The 19,264-nt window shown below is 37.1% G+C and overlaps 2 protein-coding genes across 3 annotated transcripts in view; one reads left to right on the top strand and one right to left on the bottom strand.

The window, feature by feature from the left end:
- The window catches only part of CORIN (corin, serine peptidase), a 244,067-nt gene extending 242,069 nt beyond the window's left edge, over positions 1-1,998 (top strand). For both annotated transcript variants that reach the window (NM_001278585.2, NM_006587.4), the window contains one exon: positions 96-1,998. In NM_001278585.2, the coding sequence (NP_001265514.1) occupies positions 96-278 (183 nt within the window). In that variant the 3' untranslated portion in view covers positions 279-1,998. The remainder of the gene's footprint in view (positions 1-95) is intronic.
- The window catches only part of ATP10D (ATPase phospholipid transporting 10D (putative)), a 108,212-nt gene continuing 91,460 nt past the window's right edge, over positions 2,513-19,264 (bottom strand). Inside the window, exons 19-23 of the mRNA NM_020453.4 lie at positions 19,026-19,226; positions 15,521-15,601; positions 13,935-14,039; positions 8,793-8,980; positions 2,513-4,957 (exon numbers count right to left, since the gene is read on the bottom strand). Of these exons, the coding sequence (NP_065186.3) occupies positions 4,618-4,957; positions 8,793-8,980; positions 13,935-14,039; positions 15,521-15,601; positions 19,026-19,226 (915 nt within the window). The 3' untranslated portion in view covers positions 2,513-4,617. The remainder of the gene's footprint in view (positions 4,958-8,792; positions 8,981-13,934; positions 14,040-15,520; positions 15,602-19,025; positions 19,227-19,264) is intronic.

Genomic DNA, 19,264 nt, shown 5'->3' with positions numbered 1-19,264 from the left:
ATCTGGGTTTAGCTTTATAGTATCCTCAGGATAGCATGGACACACATTACTGCCCTGAAATGCCAGTTCCTAACTCCCATCGTTACTTATTGCAGGGTGACAGCGGTGGGCCTCTTGTTTGTGAGAAGCCTGGAGGACGGTGGACATTATTTGGATTAACTTCATGGGGCTCCGTCTGCTTTTCCAAAGTCCTGGGGCCTGGCGTTTATAGTAATGTGTCATATTTCGTCGAATGGATTAAAAGACAGATTTACATCCAGACCTTTCTCCTAAACTAATTATAAGGATGATCAGAGACTTTTGCCAGCTACACTAAAAGAAAATGGCCTTCTTGACTGTGAAGAGCTGCCTGCAGAGAGCTGTACAGAAGCACTTTTCATGGACAGAAATGCTCAATCGTGCACTGCAAATTTGCATGTTTGTTTTGGACTAATTTTTTTCAATTTATTTTTTCACCTTCATTTTTCTCTTATTTCAAGTTCAATGAAAGACTTTACAAAAGCAAACAAAGCAGACTTTGTCCTTTTGCCAGGCCTAACCATGACTGCAGCACAAAATTATCGACTCTGGCGAGATTTAAAATCAGGTGCTACAGTAACAGGTTATGGAATGGTCTCTTTTATCCTATCACAAAAAAAGACATAGATATTTAGGCTGATTAATTATCTCTACCAGTTTTTGTTTCTCAAGCTCAGTGCATAGTGGTAAATTTCAGTGTTAACATTGGAGACTTGCTTTTCTTTTTCTTTTTTTATACCCCACAATTCTTTTTTATTACACTTCGAATTTTAGGGTACACGAGCACAACGTGCAGGTTAGTTACATATGTATACATGTGCCATGTTGGTGTGCTGAACCCAGTAACTCGTCATTTGATTTATTAAAAGCCAAGATAATTTACATGTTTAAAGTATTTACTATTACCCCCTTCTAATGTTTGCATAATTCTGAGAACTGATAAAAGACAGCAATAAAAGACCAGTGTCATCCATTTAGGTAGCAAGACATATTGAATGCAAAGTTCTTTAGATATCAATATTAACACTTGACATTATTGGACCCCCCATTCTGGATGTATATCAAGATCATAATTTTATAGAAGAGTCTCTATAGAACTGTCCTCATAGCTGGGTTTGTTCAGGATATATGAGTTGGCTGATTGAGACTGCAACAACTACATCTATATTTATGGGCAATATTTTGTTTTACTTATGTGGCAAAGAACTGGATATTAAACTTTGCAAAAGAGAATTTAGATGAGAGATGCAATTTTTTAAAAAGAAAATTAATTTGCATCCCTCGTTTAATTAAATTTATTTTTCAGTTTTCTTGCGTTCATCCATACCAACAAAGTCATAAAGAGCATATTTTAGAGCACAGTAAGACTTTGCATGGAGTAAAACATTTTGTAATTTTCCTCAAAAGATGTTTAATATCTGGTTTCTTCTCATTGGTAATTAAAATTTTAGAAATGATTTTTAGCTCTAGGCCACTTTACGCAACTCAATTTCTGAAGCAATTAGTGGTAAAAAGTATTTTTCCCCACTAAAAAACTTTAAAACACAAATCTTCATATATACTTAATTTAATTAGTCAGGCATCCATTTTGCCTTTTAAACAACTAGGATTCCCTACTAACCTCCACCAGCAACCTGGACTGCCTCAGCATTCCAAATAGATACTACCTGCAATTTTATACATGTATTTTTGTATCTTTTCTGTGTGTAAACATAGTTGAAATTCAAAAAGTTGTAGCAATTTCTATACTATTCATCTCCTGTCCTTCAGTTTGTATAAACCTAAGGAGAGTGTGAAATCCAGCAACTGAATTGTGGTCACGATTGTATGAAAGTTCAAGAACATATGTCAGTTTTGTTACAGTTGTAGCTACATACTCAATGTATCAACTTTTAGCCTGCTCAACTTAGGCTCAGTGAAATATATATATTATACTTATTTTAAATAATTCTTAATACAAATAAAATGGTAATGGTCTAATCACCTTTTTTTTTTTTTTGGATGGATATGGGTGGCAAGTCCTAAGAAATTGTTTCTGTCTCTATAACAGCATGCTGGCACCCTGCTTACCAATCACAATTCACCTCCCTTATATCTCACTCTCACAGATACATGCTCTTTTATTTTAGAGGATCAATGGCTCCTTGACTGGTCTGAAATTAGAGGTTGCTAATAGTCTCAAATTGCCCATTAAGTGTCCAGTGAGAACTTTAGTCCTCGTAAGGGCACACAGATCTTTAACATCCAGAGTACATTTTGGGAACCCAATACAATTATTTTATACATCTTTTGTAATAAGATTATATCCCAAAATGTATATATTAATCAATGTTCTTATCTACTGAGAGCAATGATATAATACTTGGTCCCCCCCAAATTTGGTGAAATACACTGAACACCAGATCACATCAACTTGGGTAACTTTATGTAAAAGAGTTATTGACTTGTAAATGTGACCCTTTAAAGGCTTCATACAGATCCCAACCTCTTTAGCCTAAGGTCTAGATTGTGTTTCAGAATTAAAAATTTTCCAAATTTTAAAAAGAAATACAGTTTAGCATTCAGTAATGAAATATATTAATATTTTTGTAGCAAAGTATATGAATGATTACATTAAGCAAAGTACATAAATAGCTTTACATTTGTTCAGGGCATAGAATTTACGCCTAATTTATGAAAAATATTTCAGTTTTCAGAGGTTTGGAGATTTTGGAATTGTGGATATGAGATTGTGGCCCTGTAACATTAGCACTCAGTATTTTCCTCTATTCATATGTACAGATAATTCATTTCTGAAAATTGAAAATTGTTCTTTTTCCTTAGTATTTTTGGATCATTCTTTGTCCTTAGATTCTAACCTTTTTATTTACAAGTGAACATATCTCTAAATTATTGTTTATCAGGAGACGACGATTTCAGGGAATGAATGCCAGCTGCTGTGAGGATAATAAATGATATGACATCAGTGATTTTCCATATAAGAAAAGGCAAAGCAATATTCTGGTAAAAGGCATGCTTTGTGACTTTCCTTCTAAGTTCTGGTACTAATTACAGTTGGATTTGGCAAATGTTTACAAGAGTGATGACAATTTTCCAGTATACATTATTTATGAAACAGTTTATTTATAAAAACAGTCATAAGAAAGCAGAAAGCAACTTCCATTAGCTATGTGAGATTTTGAAAGTTCTCGAAATCAGCTTATGTAAGAGACTATTTCCAATAATAACAGAAGGCTACAAAAATGTCAGACCAAAATAGTAGGCAGAAGGTAGAAAACTAAACCCTGAGAATAATAGTCATTAAGAAGACCTTGATGTAGACATTGCATATGAGCATGGAGATTCAGGAAGGAAATTCTGGATGACTGGTGGCTGACAACTTTCAAATATAATAAATAGAGATAGGACTTCAAAAGAACTTCAACAGGAATATATGATTTTATAGTAGCACCTGGCCTTACTTAGAATAAAATCGTTTGTTACAACTAAAGCCAGCATACATGATTCGCAATAGGAGTAAACTTGCTATAGACATTCCTGTCCTCAAATGATTTTAAAACCAAATTTTTCTAAGAACCTCATAGAAACCTCCAGAGAACAACTTGTATTAGTTTCTGTTTATATCTCATATTTTAGAGGCTCCAACACCTGAAAAGTCTCAGGGTATTGTAAAAACTATGAACCTTCAAGTGGTCTCTGGAAGATTGTTTTGAAATTGATTGTATCACTTTGATCAGGCTACTGTCAGTTTTAAAATACAGGAAATCACCCAATGGGCCACAGGCTGAGCTGATGTCTGCCTGACCTATGGCTTCAGTTTCCTAACTGACAACATCTATACAGAGGCAGATCTCATAAAAGGTCTTCTCTTGATTGGAACCTGACAGAGGAATGCATTCCTGGTCCCTGATGAAACCCTAGAATCCCTCTTTCCCCTTTCCAATGAAGGCTCCACCTCAGGAAAACATTGAAATGAGTGAGAGGTATGCCTACATCTTCAGCCAGAAGACCAAAAGCATCTTCCCATAGGAAATAAAAAGCTATTAATAGGCACTAACTGTATTTTAAGCAGTATAATTATACCCTATTTTAGGTACCTTGTTGTTTAAAAGGCTCTTGGGATTTTATCTGTAAATTAACCATCTACAATGTTTTTTCCGTATTTCCTCTGAGTCCTAACCAATGTATTAAAAACTACTTTTTTCTTAAAAAAATTCCGACTGGAGCCTGACCATTTAAAGCATTTCCCTAGAATATAAGATCTCCTAGTAAAATAAATATATCTCAAATGACTCCCCTTGAAAATACTTGAATTTCTAAGAGAATGAAAATGCTTTTACAAAATCCAAAAAGTTTTACAAAAGCATTTGGTTCTGAATTAAATATTTCACTTCCTTAAACTCTCTCTAGGTCAAACTCTAGCCCTCTATCACAAATGTATATACAAACATACAATAATGCTCATCATGTCAGCTCTTCCAAGCCTAGTAAAATGCTCATGTCCCTTATGGAAAAACAAGTCATTCTTGCTTGGAGAGATACCTCTTCAAAATCCCTCTTCCAACCTTGAAAGAATACTTGCAACTCCAAGGAGGGTATCTAGCTTTCTTTACCTTTGGAGGGTCCAGCCATCTCAAAGGCCTTAGTTTCAGAGTAGCCTTGATCTAAAGCAGTTTCACACAGAGATAAGTTTCCTTGCTCAATAGCACAGGAACTTGCTGACTTCATTGCAAATACAGCAGAAGGGCCAGGCATGGGTCTTCTTCCTGACTTGCCAGCTGATTGGTTAGCATACTTTGATGTCACTTGATTCATCTTTCCAGCCCCTCTCCACTTCTTGAGAGCTTTAGTCCTCTCCTCTGGAGTTAGTCTGTCAAAGTGCTTAGCTCTCAGAATTGGAGATGGAAACAGGGATCCCTGAAGAACTCTGTATACAAACCTAGGTGACAAGGAACATCATTAGAATTAAATTCATCTCAAATGCATTACAGAACCCCCCCCCCCAAATACTAACGAATTAAAAAAGTAAAAGGGTCTGGTGGCCACTTGGCTCCTGAAATAAAGGGGGAGGGTAACCGAACTCTAATACAAAATGGAGATAAAACAATATTAAATAAATTAATATTTGTAAAGCAATTAGAAAATAGTAATTGCCATATAAGTGTTTATTAAAAAGCAAAACTAAATAGCATCTATAAAAGTAGAGATATAAATAGTTGCTACATAGGCTTAATGTTAGGTTAAATGAGACAATACATACAAAGCAGGCAGAGTGTTGACACATAGTAGGTGTTAAAAATGCTATTTGTACCAGTTTCCTATGGCTATTGTAACAAAGTACCACAAACGTGTCCCTTTGTAGGCTAAGCTGGCAGTGTTTCTTCTGGTATAACATTCTCAAAAGTCTTGTGACTCTCCTATGTATGTCACTTGGATTTATGCCACTAAATAGGAGGGGCCACCACAGATCTTTCCTGTATAACCTCATTTCTTTTCCTGGTTACTACTGCAATGGTTGAGGAGATCTAGGAATCACATAACTAATCTCTTCAGCACTAGCAGAAAGGTTGTCCAGCTATGCTCTCAGACTTCTCTCCAGAGCATACTACTAACAGTCAATCTCCTAATTTTAGCAACTTTTGCAATCTGGATAGACTGAGAATTTCCTAAACCAAGTTCCTTGTGGCTTAGCAGTTTTCCCTTCAGTCTCTTTCCTCTCACATTTTACTATAAGCAGTAAATCAGGACACAACTTTGACACTTTGCTTAGAAACCTCCTCTGCCAAATATCCAAGTTCATTCCTTACAAATTCTGCTTTCCATATTACTGTAGAACACAATTTAGCTAATTTTTCTGCCAGTATTTGAAAGATCCACTTCCCTCAAATTCCCAAGCATGTTCCTCATTTTCTTCCGAGTCCTCATCAGTGTACTTGAAAATTCATATTTCTAGCAACTTTCTGTGTATGATGATATATGTATTCTCTGCATCTGATGATACAGGCTTTCTCTGACTTCTTCATTTTCTTCTGAAACCTCACCAACAGTAACTTAATTTTTCAGGAATGCAAGATTGTTTTCATATTATAAAAGCAATTAATGTAATTTACTACACTAACAGTGTGACAAAGAAAATCTTATCTCAATGGATACACAAATTTATATATGTTTTAAATGTGAAAATAAGGAATAGAATGGAACTTCTTTAATCTGGTTAATGGTATAGTCATAAAATTCTATATAAAACATCATAATTAACAGAGAAATATGGAAACCTTTCCTTCTGGGATCAGAAACAAGACAAGCTTCCCTAGCCAGGTCAATGAGAAAAATTAAGTGCCTATGTATTGGAAAGAAAGAAACACACTGGTCATTATTTGCTAATGGCATTACTGTATATGTAGAAAACCTAAAATAAAATATTGGAACTAATAAGTAAATGTAGCTATCAAGATCACTGGTTACAACTTAAATGTCCATATTTCTACCAAGAGCCTGTGTAAGGAAGTCTAGGAGAATTTTTCTATTATGTGCCAAAATTCATCCTGCCTCTGCCCATTATCCAGTTTCAAAGCCACTTCCACAGTTTTAGGCATTTGTTATAGCAGAAACCTATTCTGAGTACCCAAATCTGTATTAGTTTCCTATGACTGCTATACCACGTTATTACAAACTTGGTAGCTTAGAATTACAAAAATTATTCTCTCAATGTTTTCAAGGCAAAAAATTATGAAATTAGCTTCACTGGGCCAAAATCAAGGTATTGGAAAGGGCATGCTCCCTCTGGACCCTCTAGTAGAGAATCTATTCCTTGCCTCTTCCAGCTTCTGGTGGCTTCTGACATTTCTTGGCTTGTGGCTAAGGAATCCATGATCCCATAGTCATAGTACCTTCTCCTCTTCTGTGTCAAATCTCCCTCTGCCTCTTTCTTATAAGGACACTTGTGGTTACATTTAGGATCCACCTGGATAACTAATCTCTTTGTCTCAAGATCCATAATGTAATCACTCATGCAAAGTTCTTTTCTTGCCACATAAGATAAAATTTACAGGTTACAGGGATTAGGACATGGAAATCTTTTAGGGAGTCATTTTTTAGCATACCACGATAATATTAGAACTATACTGTTAAAGGCCCAGAATTTTTAAAGCTAAAACCTTTAAGTAATTGTTTTTTCAGAAATTCTGTAAGTTCATCTTGTCAGTTTTTAATCTGGAAGCTGGCAATAGCAGTGAGCACTATAGAAGTATCTTCGTTTCACAGTGATATTGTTATATATAAGTACCATTGAGTAACTCAGATGGGTTTTTTAATGCATTTCTGGAAGAGACATTCATCAGCAACAAAGGATTGTGTCCACTGTGCCGTATGATACAGCTACAGATCAGAGCGGGCAAACCTTTTCTGTAAAGGGCTGGATAGTAATATTTTAGGCACTGGGAGCCAGACAAACTTTGTTGGAACTATTCAGTTCTGCTGTTGTATTGCATAAGCAGCCATAGATCATATATAAGTGAGTATGGCTATATTCTAACAAAGCTTTATTTACAAAATCAGACAGTAGGCCAAATTTGGCCTGTTTGCCACAGTTTGTTGACGCTGTTATAGAATAACATGAACTTACCATTATGAGTCTCATTTATGTTTAAAAAAGCAGAACAACTATTTGTTATAATATTTTCAACTAAACAGATTTTGTGAAACTGCAGAGATGATGAGTTCTGAGTTCCAAGAATCTATATATTAAAAACCCATGTATTCTTCTTAGTCATTTCCATCCCATACAATACTATAAATCAGATTAAACTAGAACTGGGGGAGTAACTGAACTCAGATAAGGGAGGAAAGTTGAAAAGTGTTCAGTGCTTACAGATTGTAGTAGAGACTGCTACTTGTCCCTCAACACCCAGCCTCCCTTTCTTCCTTTTAGAAACTCCAAGATTTTAGCCACTCAGTTACAATGTACATATGTAGGTTCATGCCACTACATGAAAAACAAACAAACAAACAAAAATATAAAAACAAAGCTGCTTGCCCTCAACTTTCCCATTCCTGTATACAGGGGCAAGCAGGGCTGAGGATCAGCTGAGTAGTCACCTTCTGTCATGAGATGAGGGCTGCTATGGTTGGAATGTTTATTCCCCCCAAAACTCATGTTGAAATTTAGCGGCTGTTTTTACAATATTAAGAGATAGGACCTTTAAGAGGTGATAAGGCAGAGCCCTCCTGAGTGAGATTAATGCCATTATAAGAGGGCGAGTTTGATCCCCTTTTGCCTCTTTGCCCTTCCACCATCTGAAGGTGCAGTGTTCAAGGTGCCATCTTGGAATTGGGATCGTCAAATCTTCTGGTGGCTTGACGTTAGACTTTTCAGCCTCCAAAACTGTGAGCCAATAAATTTCTGTTTATAAATTCCACTGTGGCAGCACGAAATGGACCCAAACAAGGGCCTGACCCTTGGGAGACAGCAAAGTAAAAAGATAGAGAAAAGGATCTAGGTCCTTAGATAACCCTGTGAAGCAAAGCTACCCTATCCCTGTAAACTGTCAACCAGATAAACTTTTTCATGAGAGATAAATCAGTCTCTCGGTTTGCTTAAGCCACTTTTGTTCTCTGATAAAAGAGTTAAAAACCAATATTTTAACTAGGACACAAATTGACTTTCTCACTACTAAACAGGGTGGGCTGCCAACCATTCGTAGTAGTGTAGTTGCTTGAAGGATTCTTAGCCTATGATTCCATTTATTCTCTCAATGATAAAATAAATACCATACCTGGGCAGAAGAGCAATGGACGTCGTGAGGATACAAACTAAGTAGAATACTGGATCCAGCATGTGCTCCTGCATAATCCAGTAAGGGTTGGATGGTGGGTTGCAAGTTACACACATGGCTCCAAAAACTATGGCAAATAAAAAATAAGACAAGATGCTACCAATGATGACCAGCAAGTGAATCCAAGTCTGTAAGACAAGAAGAGCAGAGGAAATGAATGCTCTGTCACTGATACAGTATTGCCACCCGGACAAATCTGCTCCATTAAAGAGACAACACATCTAAGCACTGGATGAATGGTGTAACAAACCTGAATAAACAAAATATAAGATATCAAGGAGATGGGAGTATTTTTTGTGAATGAATTACATCACCATTTGAATTCTGTAAAACTAAATTAAATCAAATGTCAAAAGGGAATTCTGTTGATTAGTTTATTCTATACTATCCATGCACCAAGAGGTGTCTGGATTTTCTCCTTAATTTTTTTCATGTAGTCACTCATTGGTCTGTTTCCTTGTTAACTGGAAACAGGTTCCTCCCAGTGAACCTCAAACTTAAGCCATTCAAATAGGTGTTAGACAGTACTGTTGATCACGAATACTGTCATTCTCCTCCCTGAGTAAGCATTCAGGTGGATCACATTTCCACACTCCCTTGAAATTAAGCATGGCCATATGTCTTGCTTTGACTAATAAAATGTGAGTACAAGGGGTATGTAAAACTTTCCGGTTAGAAGTATGTAAGAGCTTGTCTGCAATTTTCCATGCTGTCTCCTTTCCTTCCATACTGACCAAGAAGTTCTCTGAGAGGATGGTTGCTTCTAGAGCTGTCTGGAATATCAGCCAACTTTATATGAGCAAGAAATAAATGTTTGCGTGTCATACCACAGCCTAGCTACTTTCATATTCATGTATATCTTGCAATATTATTTTTCTTAACATCGGTTCACTAATTAAGTAACTTTATCTAGAAAGAAAAGTACAATGAGATATCATCTCAATCTCACCCCAGTTAAAATGGCTTGTATCCAAAAGACAGGCAATGCCAAACATTGGTTAGGATGTGGATAAAAGGGAACCCTTGTACATTGTTAGTGGGAATGTAAGTTAGTACAGCCACTATGGAGAACAGTTTGGAGGTTCCTCAAAAAACTAAAAATTAAGCTACTGTATGATCCAGCAATCCCACTGCTGGTTGTACACCCAAAAGAAAGGAAATCAGTATATCAAAGAGATATCTGCACTCCTATGCTTGCTGCAGCACTGTTTACAATAGCCAAGGTTTGGAAGCCACCTAAGTGTTCATCAACAGATGAATGGATAAAAAACTGTGGTATATCTACACGATGGAGTACTATTTGGCCACAAAAAAAGAATGAGATTCTATCACTTACAACAACATGGATGGAACTAGAGGTCATTATGTTAAATGAAATAAGGCAGGCACAGAAAGACAAATACTGCATGTTCTCACTTATTTGTGGGATCTAAAAATCAAATCAATTGAACTCATGGACATAGAAAGTAGAAGGATGGTTATCAGAGCCTGGGAAGGGTAGTGGAGGTATCAGGGGAGGTGGGGATGGTTAATGGGTACAAAAGAAAAATAGAAAGAATGACTAAGACCTACTATTTGATAGCATAATGGGATGACTATAGTCAATAATAATTATATATTTTAAAATAACTTAAAGGATCTATTTGGATTGTTTGTAACTCAAAGGATAAATGCTTGAAGGGATGGATACCCCATTCTCCATGATGTGCTTATTTCACATTGCAACCCTGTATCAAAACATCTCATGTACATAATAAATATATACACCTACTATGTACCCACAAAAATTTTAGAAATAAAAAAAGATTTAAATTCAAAAAGGAAGAAAAGTATATGCCTACTTTAAATGTATGAGGTTGGTGCAAAAATAATTGCGTTTTTTTTTTGGCACCAACTTCATAATATTAATATTCTCTGTTATAAAAGAGCTGAGTCTAGGGTTTGATTAATCTTTGTTATAAAGAGAAATTAGCAAGAATTACTGTGATAAAACATAATAGCATCAAATGAGATACCTCTTTGATATAATCGGAAGTATGAAAACAGAATTACCTTCACATTATGTAGTATTTAGTGTTATTTAGTGCAGTATACAGTACTACCTAAAATCATGGTGTGTACTATTGGTGGCACATATCATGCTTTTTAGGGAAACACTGCTTTTATTAATCTCTTTTATTTTCTAGGGCTATAATTTTCAAATAAGATTAGATTTTCTTCTTTTCTCTCCTAATCTTGCAAAGTATTTCCCCATGGCAGATACCTTCACAAGAGTCACACAGACTGCTTATTTTTAAATAAAATGTACAAACAACTAGAAAAATGTTAGCTAACTCCTGGATTAAGATCTTCATGCTGCTAAAACAATAATTCCTTTTTTTTCTTTCTCAAATGTCTTTCCTTCTATTTGAGCCATTTTGCTCCAATTTTTTATCTCTTAAAACATGCTTTGGCCAGGCACAGTGGCTCACGCCTGTAATCCCAGCACTTTGGGAGGCTGAGGTGGGTGGATCACGAGACCAGGAGATCGAGACCATCCTGGCTAAGATGGTGAAACCCTGTCTCTACTAAAAATACAAAAACAAAATTAGCGGGGCGTGGTGGTGGGCGCCTGTAGTCCCAGCTACTCGGGAGGCTGAGGCAGAAGAATGGCATGAACCTGGGAGGCGGAGCTTGCAGTGAGCAGAGATAGTGCCACTGCACTCCAGCCTGGGTGACAGAGCAAGACTCTGTCTCAAAAACAACAACAACAACAAAAACAAACAAAAAACAACAACAAAAAAAACATGCCTTTGGCAAGTGAGATAGTGACTTCATAGAGTTTATACATTTAAGTTAATTGATACAAAGAAGTGAAAGTCAAAGAATACTGGGTAAAAACCAACAGGGAAGTGGGAGGTGGCAATGAGATGGTGAATAAGAGCATGAAGGGAAAGAGTTTTATACTTTCAGAATGGCTGGCTTTTATTAACAAGAGACCTGCAGGGCCAGGATCTCTAGCCATGCATCCTCCAGCATAAGAAACAATTCTCTAATGATGCATCCTTTAAACAGCAGTCTCTGTTTATCTTTGACTCTAGCTTTCACAATGCTGCACTCCAGCATTGTGTGCAGTCTCGGCAAAATATTCCTCCCCTAGCCAAAGCCTGTGACTTAAGCTAGGGAAATAGGATTCCATCACAAGAGAGTAGACTTGGAGCACAATGGGGCAAGAGCAGAAAGAAAATAAATGGAGCCAGTTCAGACCAGAGGACCATCCTGACAAGCCTGACCATTAGTTTCTGCTCTGTGCATCTCCAGAGTCACTCTGGTTTCTCAGATATTTTTGCTTTTCTTTATTTTGTTCTATCATGGTTCTTCATTATATTTTTTAATAACTTTTCTATTTGTTCAGGTTATTCAGATGATATTGCTCATAATCCGTGAACCCAAACTGATACACTTTATGTGTTAAATCCTCTGGCACACTAATAAATGTCAGAACCTTTGGCATTTTCTCAGGTGGCCACCAAAAGTACCAATGCAATTGCTTAAAAATTGAATAGGTATAAAAACAATCCCAAATATTTCAGTTCTAGAATTTCCTTTACTCTACCCATCTGGTATTTGCAGATATTAACCTTTTACTACATTTTAGCTTGTAATATTTTGTTATAGATGATTGTAAGCAAAGCAAATAATGTCCAAAATAATCAGCCCTACTTTAGAAATTGTTATAAATAATTTTGTAATATAACTTCATATATTTTAAACTATAACCTTATTCAGCTATTTCCTATTTAAAATTCATATGTTATCAGGACGGTAAACATAACCCAAAAACTGGTTATTTCATCATTTATTTATCCATTCAAATATTTTTTGAGCACCTGCTGTGTGTCAGTCTTGTCCTTTAACACTGGTATACAGTGGTGAACAAAATAGGCATGAACCCTACCCTCGCAGAGAGCATAGGCTAATGCGGAAGATAAACATGAATAAGATAATCACACTTTTTTGTTTTTAGAGACAAGGTTTCTCTCTGTTTCCCAAGCTGGAGTGCAGTGGCATGATCATAGCTTACTGCAGCCTCCAACTGTTGGGCTCAAGTGAGCCTCCTCCTCAGTCTCCCAAGTGGCCAAGACTGCTGGCAGGTGCCATGACACACAGTTAGTTTTGTTATTTTTTTTAGAGACAGGGTCTCACTATGTTGCCCAGGCTGGTCTTGAACTCTTAGCTTCATGTGATCCACAGCCTCCCAAAGCTCTGGAATTGCAGGTGTGAGTCACTGCACCTGGTCTGAGATAATCACATAATTAAATAAATAATTATAAATTATGATTAGAGTTATGAGTAAGAGCAAGAGAATGGTATTAGAGGATGGATGGTTAGGGAAAGGCTGTTGGGGGAAATTATATTTTTGATGAAATTTAAAATAACATTTGCGCTGGGTGAAGTGCAGGGATGCAAGGGGGAATGCAAATTACCTCCGTTAAAAGATACGCTAAGTGCCAAGATCCTGATGTGGTAATCAGTTCAATGTACTGAAGAAACTGAAAGAGGGATAAGGTGGTTCCAGCCCACGAATATGTGGAAATGAGGTTGAAGAGAGAAGTACAGCATCACTGCACCATCTTAGGGCTTTCATATTTTATTCCAAGTACAATGGGAAACCACTGAAGGGTTTTACCCAAAGGAGAGCCAAAAAAGATTTTTTCTATTATAAGGAAGGCATAAAATCATCCCTAAAGTCACTGTACCAGGATTATGATACAACACCTTTTTTCATTTTCACTAAAAGTAATCAGCTTGGTCTTGAAGAATGAAGGTTAAATATCCCTCCAGTCTGTCTCACATCTCCATGAACCCTCCACCACTGATACTACCAAAGGGAGCAAGGCAGGTGTTTTCCACTATCCCCAGCTACACATCAACCTCAGCATAATGGCATTCAATGATCACCCAGAGTAGCTGTGATCACCCTTCTCCCATAGATTCATTACTCTTCTCATTACCACTTATCTTCAGGGTCACTGCTAATAGAAGACATATCCCCAAGCATAAAAGATTTTAGGCTACTTCAGAGGCAAGAAAACCACTCACCAAACTCTTGCTTTCAATGACCAGATGGAGGAGAACGATGAACAGAGCGGCTGTGTTCAGGGGGTTTCCAAATGCAAAGATGTCAGTATCTGAGCCCTGGTAGGTCTACAAAGAGAGGACATTAGATGATCCTGGAGAGTTGTGCAACTTGGTGTGGGTAACATCACTTTATCTACAGCTCAACCAAGGCTTGAATCCCTTCTACAAGGTCCCTGTGAACTGGCCATATGAAATAAACTTGAACATTTCCACAAGTAAGAGACTGACTCTCTCCCAGACAGGGCATCTAATCTTCAGTTTTTTTCAACTGGAATTCCTCTTTATTCTGAATCATAATTGATCCTCCTGGAACCTTTCACTCACACTTCTAGCTTTTTAAGGTATAGAGAAATTTGTTCTATTTAATAGAGCTACAAATCTTTGAGGCAGCTATTATAACTATCTTTCCTAGGAAAATATACCCTCCTTTCCTATATGTCTTCAAGTCCTTATACTATTCCTCTAATGACACAATTTTCTCATGTTTCACCATCATCTTCATTCTATTCTGAATATACTTCAGATTGCCTTGTTTATATTTCTCCTGAAGTGCAGTATAGCCAGAAAACTCCAGCAAGGCTAATTCAAATGATTTTATTTGAATAAAGAATAAAAATTGTCAATTTAGAAATGATCATCTTTTTCATTCTTAATACTGTGCTTCTATTAACACCACCCATGATAAAACAGGTGTTTTCTTTAGGAGAAGGGTATATGTGGATGAGCAGCTATACAATGCTTCTTTGTGTATCGTGTTAGCCTAAATTTTCTAAAATTAAAGTTTATACTTTTTTTGCTTTGTTACATTTCTTCCATTATTTACCTGTAAAACAGGTTTTATAGTTTTAAAGACATTACTTATGGAATCTCAAATTTAATGCTCTGAATATCATTCGAGTAGAATTAGCCCAGCACTCACTAATAAAAGCTTTCATATTCTGGCATTGCCTCTCTGATTTTTTTAAGACAGGGTCTCACTCTGTTGTCTAGGCTGGAGTGCAGTGGTGCAATCACAGTTCACTGCAGCCTAGACCTCCTGGGCTCAAGCAATCCTCCTACCTCAGCCTCCCAAATAGCTGGGGCCACAGGTCCACACCACTACACTCAGCTAATTTTTAAATTTTTTGTAGAGATGGTGGCCTCACTATGTTGTGCAAGCTGGTTTCAAACTCCTCAACTCAAGCAATCCAACTGCCTCAGCCTCCCAAAATGCTGAGATTACAGGTGTGAGCCACTGTGCCCAGCCTGTCTGATTTTTGACTAATCTAATTATATAGCCAGACATCCAATTTTGTTCAAGTCATTGATAAAAATTTTTAAGCAGTACAGAGTTAACAAGAGGCCTAAGAGGACTCAAACTATGTATGTCTATCTAAATTTAATCCATTACCTAACATATATTTTTGGGGAGATTATAATTTAGTCAGTTAATAATCAACCTGATTATATGAGCAATCTGCCCTCCTTTATGCTGAAATTGGTGGCAAAGTACAAAGAAGCATCATTGATTCATTAATAACAAATATACTGAGTGAACAAAGACTCACAAAATAAGGCACAAAGAAGCAGACCAGGCTTTGATAAAAAGCATCCAATAAGGTGATCCAGAAGGTATGGGGTAAGTATGCCTAGAAATGAAGCAGATAACGGGGAGGTAGTAAGATTAACAAGGGTCCAAGAAAAGAAACAACACAAGCCAGTACTTACATTTGTTTCTCTGAGAGAAAGCTCCATTTCTTCAAGTGGTATTTGTCAACAGAGGTAAAGATAAGGGTAACTGAATGTGATGGGTTCACAAGTAAACATGATGAAAAAAATCCTTGAAGGAACATTTATTCAACTCATGTTGCCTTTATTACAGGATAAATTTTAAATCTAGCTGAAATACAGCCGGTAGTACTAACTTCTCCTTTCCTACTGATCAGAAAGTACTGTTTCAAAACTTCTCCAACTCTATCCATTTCTCTTTCTCTAAATTACTCCCTTCATTCCAATTCACCATCAATTGTCTCTATGAATGGCTGGATAGCCATCTAACTGCCCTCTTTGCTTCCTCCCCTATTCTCAATCCAATCTTCCAAAATCAGCCAGATGGTTTTAAACCCATTTCCCATTTAGAAAAAAAAGGCAGCTTGCTGCCAGCGCAGTATTCCTAAGGCAAATTGGAAATGGACTTAAAAAATGTAAACCAGGTCATGCCATCTCTCTAATTAATCAAATTGACTCCTTCCACTCCCTCCAATGACTTCCCACTGCATTTCCAACACAATCTAAGTTTCTTCTCATGACCTATAAGGTCCTACATGGTTTGCCCACTCAATAGTTCTCCAGGGTTACTTCTTGCCGTTTTGATTCTGCAACATGGACCTTTTTCATTCTTTTCCTCAAATGTGCCAAATCCATTCTTTCCTCAGGGATTCACCTGTGCTAGTCTCTCTGCCAGGAATTCTTTTCCTGGACCTCCTACATGAGCATTTCCTCATTACTTGTATCCTAGCTCAAATATCACTTCCTCATACAGGCACACCAAACCAGTCTAAAAGCTGTGCCCACTCAGGCACTTACTACCATGGAAACCTGAGAAGTATCTCATCACCATCAGGAATAATTCTCTCTGTTTAATAAATGCTCTAGTTCTCTCAGTGGAATGCAAGCTCATAGAATAGAATGTTGACTCTTTTATTCAAGCGACTAAAACAGTGTCTTGTACATACCAGGTGCCCAACAAATATTTATCGGGTTAATAAAGTATTCACATACACGTTTTCATGTACTAAACTGCTTCCTACACAAATCTTAGAGAAAAAAAGAAAGAGTAAGAGACAATAGTCAAATGATTGAAAATGACTTTTCAAACAAGAGCCAACTCTGAAGTTGGATTCTGAGGCTGTGTGAAGGATTCTGAGGCTGCATTCAGATCCAGCAGGAAAGAGTGCTATCACTTATTAGTGATATCTGCCATGAACAAAATTGGAAAAACATGTGTCACATCCCTGAGCTAGTCTTTTCCTAACATGTTCTCAGTCTTGTTTTCTTCCAAATGCAGAGGCTGAAACTTCCTTGAAAATGTCTCACTGTCTCTTAAAGAACAAATCTTTATAAATATACAAATTCTCCATATACATTCTTCCATTCTTTAGAATAATATACTTGGAATTTTTACATCTATCCTTTTTTATCCCTTCGTTCTCTGGAAAATCAAAACAATGAAGATTCATTGTTTCCAGTCCACTTTTCTCTGTATCTTCTTCTATTATTTCCTCATTGGATATGAAGGATATTCTGCCTGCCTTTCTTCCATAAAATCTCAGCAGAAGCCCAATCCAATGGTGGAAGAGAATGTGCCAGAGACAAAGGGGCAAGCAAAATGCCACTGGACAAGAGAGAACCACTTAGGGATAAGTTAAAATATAACTTCATGCATCTGGGGAGAGAGAGGTTGCTCAAAGAACCTAGAGTAAAAGGAAAGAAATACAATTTCCCACAGTCACATGAGGAATAGGACTTACAAAAGTAAAGAGAGAAGGATCATGATTAAGATAAATGAGAGGCTGGAGGGATTAACTCACGGGGTCCACTGGAACCTGAAAGGGGAAAGTCTGGACATGAAGCCAAAGCCAAAAAAGAAGATTGTGGGTGATGAGAGATGGGGGTGAGGCTTCGTGGAAGGGAAGCTTCTGACTGCAGACTTCCAGACTCATCTTTAGAGGAGAGAGATTCTGTAGCTCTGGAGAGTATATTTCATGACACTGAACACAGGAAAACGACCCAAGCATAAAACATAATTTTGTTGGAGGCCAAGTTCAAAGAAAGGACAAATTTTAGAAGGTAAAGTCAATGAAATCAGTTACCTTTTATCAATAGCTACATGCTGGGAAAATCTGCCTGCTGTGATCATGTTTTATATAACTGGCCAGCTCACTAGAACAGCGTGTACAAGGATTGGTGAGAGGATTCAACAACAGGAAACAATGATCTCACGTCTCCCAAGGATAAGGACAAATAACAATCTTTAGTCCATACAAATGGGCTTTTAAAACACAGGCTATAAAAACTTTGACTGAAAATCTCCCTCAACCCTCCTTTCCGAAGTGGATTTGGAATTTCAATTATGCCTGGGGCGTGGGACAAACTTCTCTGACATCAACCACATGTTCTTGCATCCTGGCTTGAACTTTAAGTCAGACTGGACTCCTTTAGGAAAACCCATGTAGTTCCTTGGTCTGAATGGATTGGATGATATTAGAGGATTATAAGGACCCCTTCTTTCCTGAAAGCTGAATCTGTGATTTCTCTGTTGGTTGTTCTAGGTAGTGTAAGGACACTAAATGACTCTCCATTCCAGAAAGGCATTTCAAGTCAGATTAGTTAGACCGATGAAAATAAATGCATTATTTTAAATTTGGGATTTCCTCAAATTTCTGGTTAATTCTGGAGGGTAAAAATGACAACATTGAGAGCTTGCTATGGCTGGAAGTTGTACCGTATTATCTTCCTTAATCCTCACTTCATTCCCATAAAGAACCTGCAGCACAGGCAAGTTAAAAAATTTACCAAGGTCACATACCACAGAACCAGAATTTAAACTCAGAGTAAACATAACCTATTCTTTCTAACATATACCAAACCACTTTTTAGTGGTGGGATTTCTTGAAAAATTACTTAACCCCTTTGAGGTTCAGATTCTTCATCTTAGAATGGGACCAACACTAGGTTCTGTCTCAACGTGTTTTCATGAAGATAAATCAGACGGGGGATGTTAAGTAGTTAGCACAATAGATGGCAATGGGGTTTAGTAAATGTTAGATATTATTGGTTGTAAGATTCAAACTTTAGATTTCTTCTTCTAAGTACATAAGGCCCTTCATAGATTAATCTGTATTTACCTCAAAGTTAAGTAAGTGAATATCTGCCACATAAGTAGAGATCTTTTAAAACAATCAGATATTTCAAACAGTTCTGAGTAGACTGCAATATTTTGCTAACTAAGAAAACACACTGGCTTTGACAATGGATATGCATCCATCCAAGCACTCTTGCTTTAACACCTACCTCTGATTTCTGACCACTTCTGTAAAGTTCAGGCAGTTGCATGAGGGTCTCTGCAGACACATCTTTCTCCAAAACACCATAAATGACAGGAGGGGCAGATGTGAAGAGGAGGTTGAAGAAGATCAAAACCCAGTAATCAGTCATGGATGTTCCTGAAAATCCACAAAAGAACTGGTACCAGAAAAGGAGGTTCACATAGGCCTAGAGACACAAAGAAGGACATTCAGATCTTAGAATCA

This window comes from Homo sapiens, chromosome 4, assembly GCF_000001405.40.
Source record: "Homo sapiens chromosome 4, GRCh38.p14 Primary Assembly".
Lineage (NCBI taxonomy): Eukaryota > Metazoa > Chordata > Mammalia > Primates > Hominidae > Homo > Homo sapiens.
The sequence above is the reverse complement of the archived record's forward strand: the minus strand, read 5'-3'. Positions and strand labels throughout refer to the sequence as shown.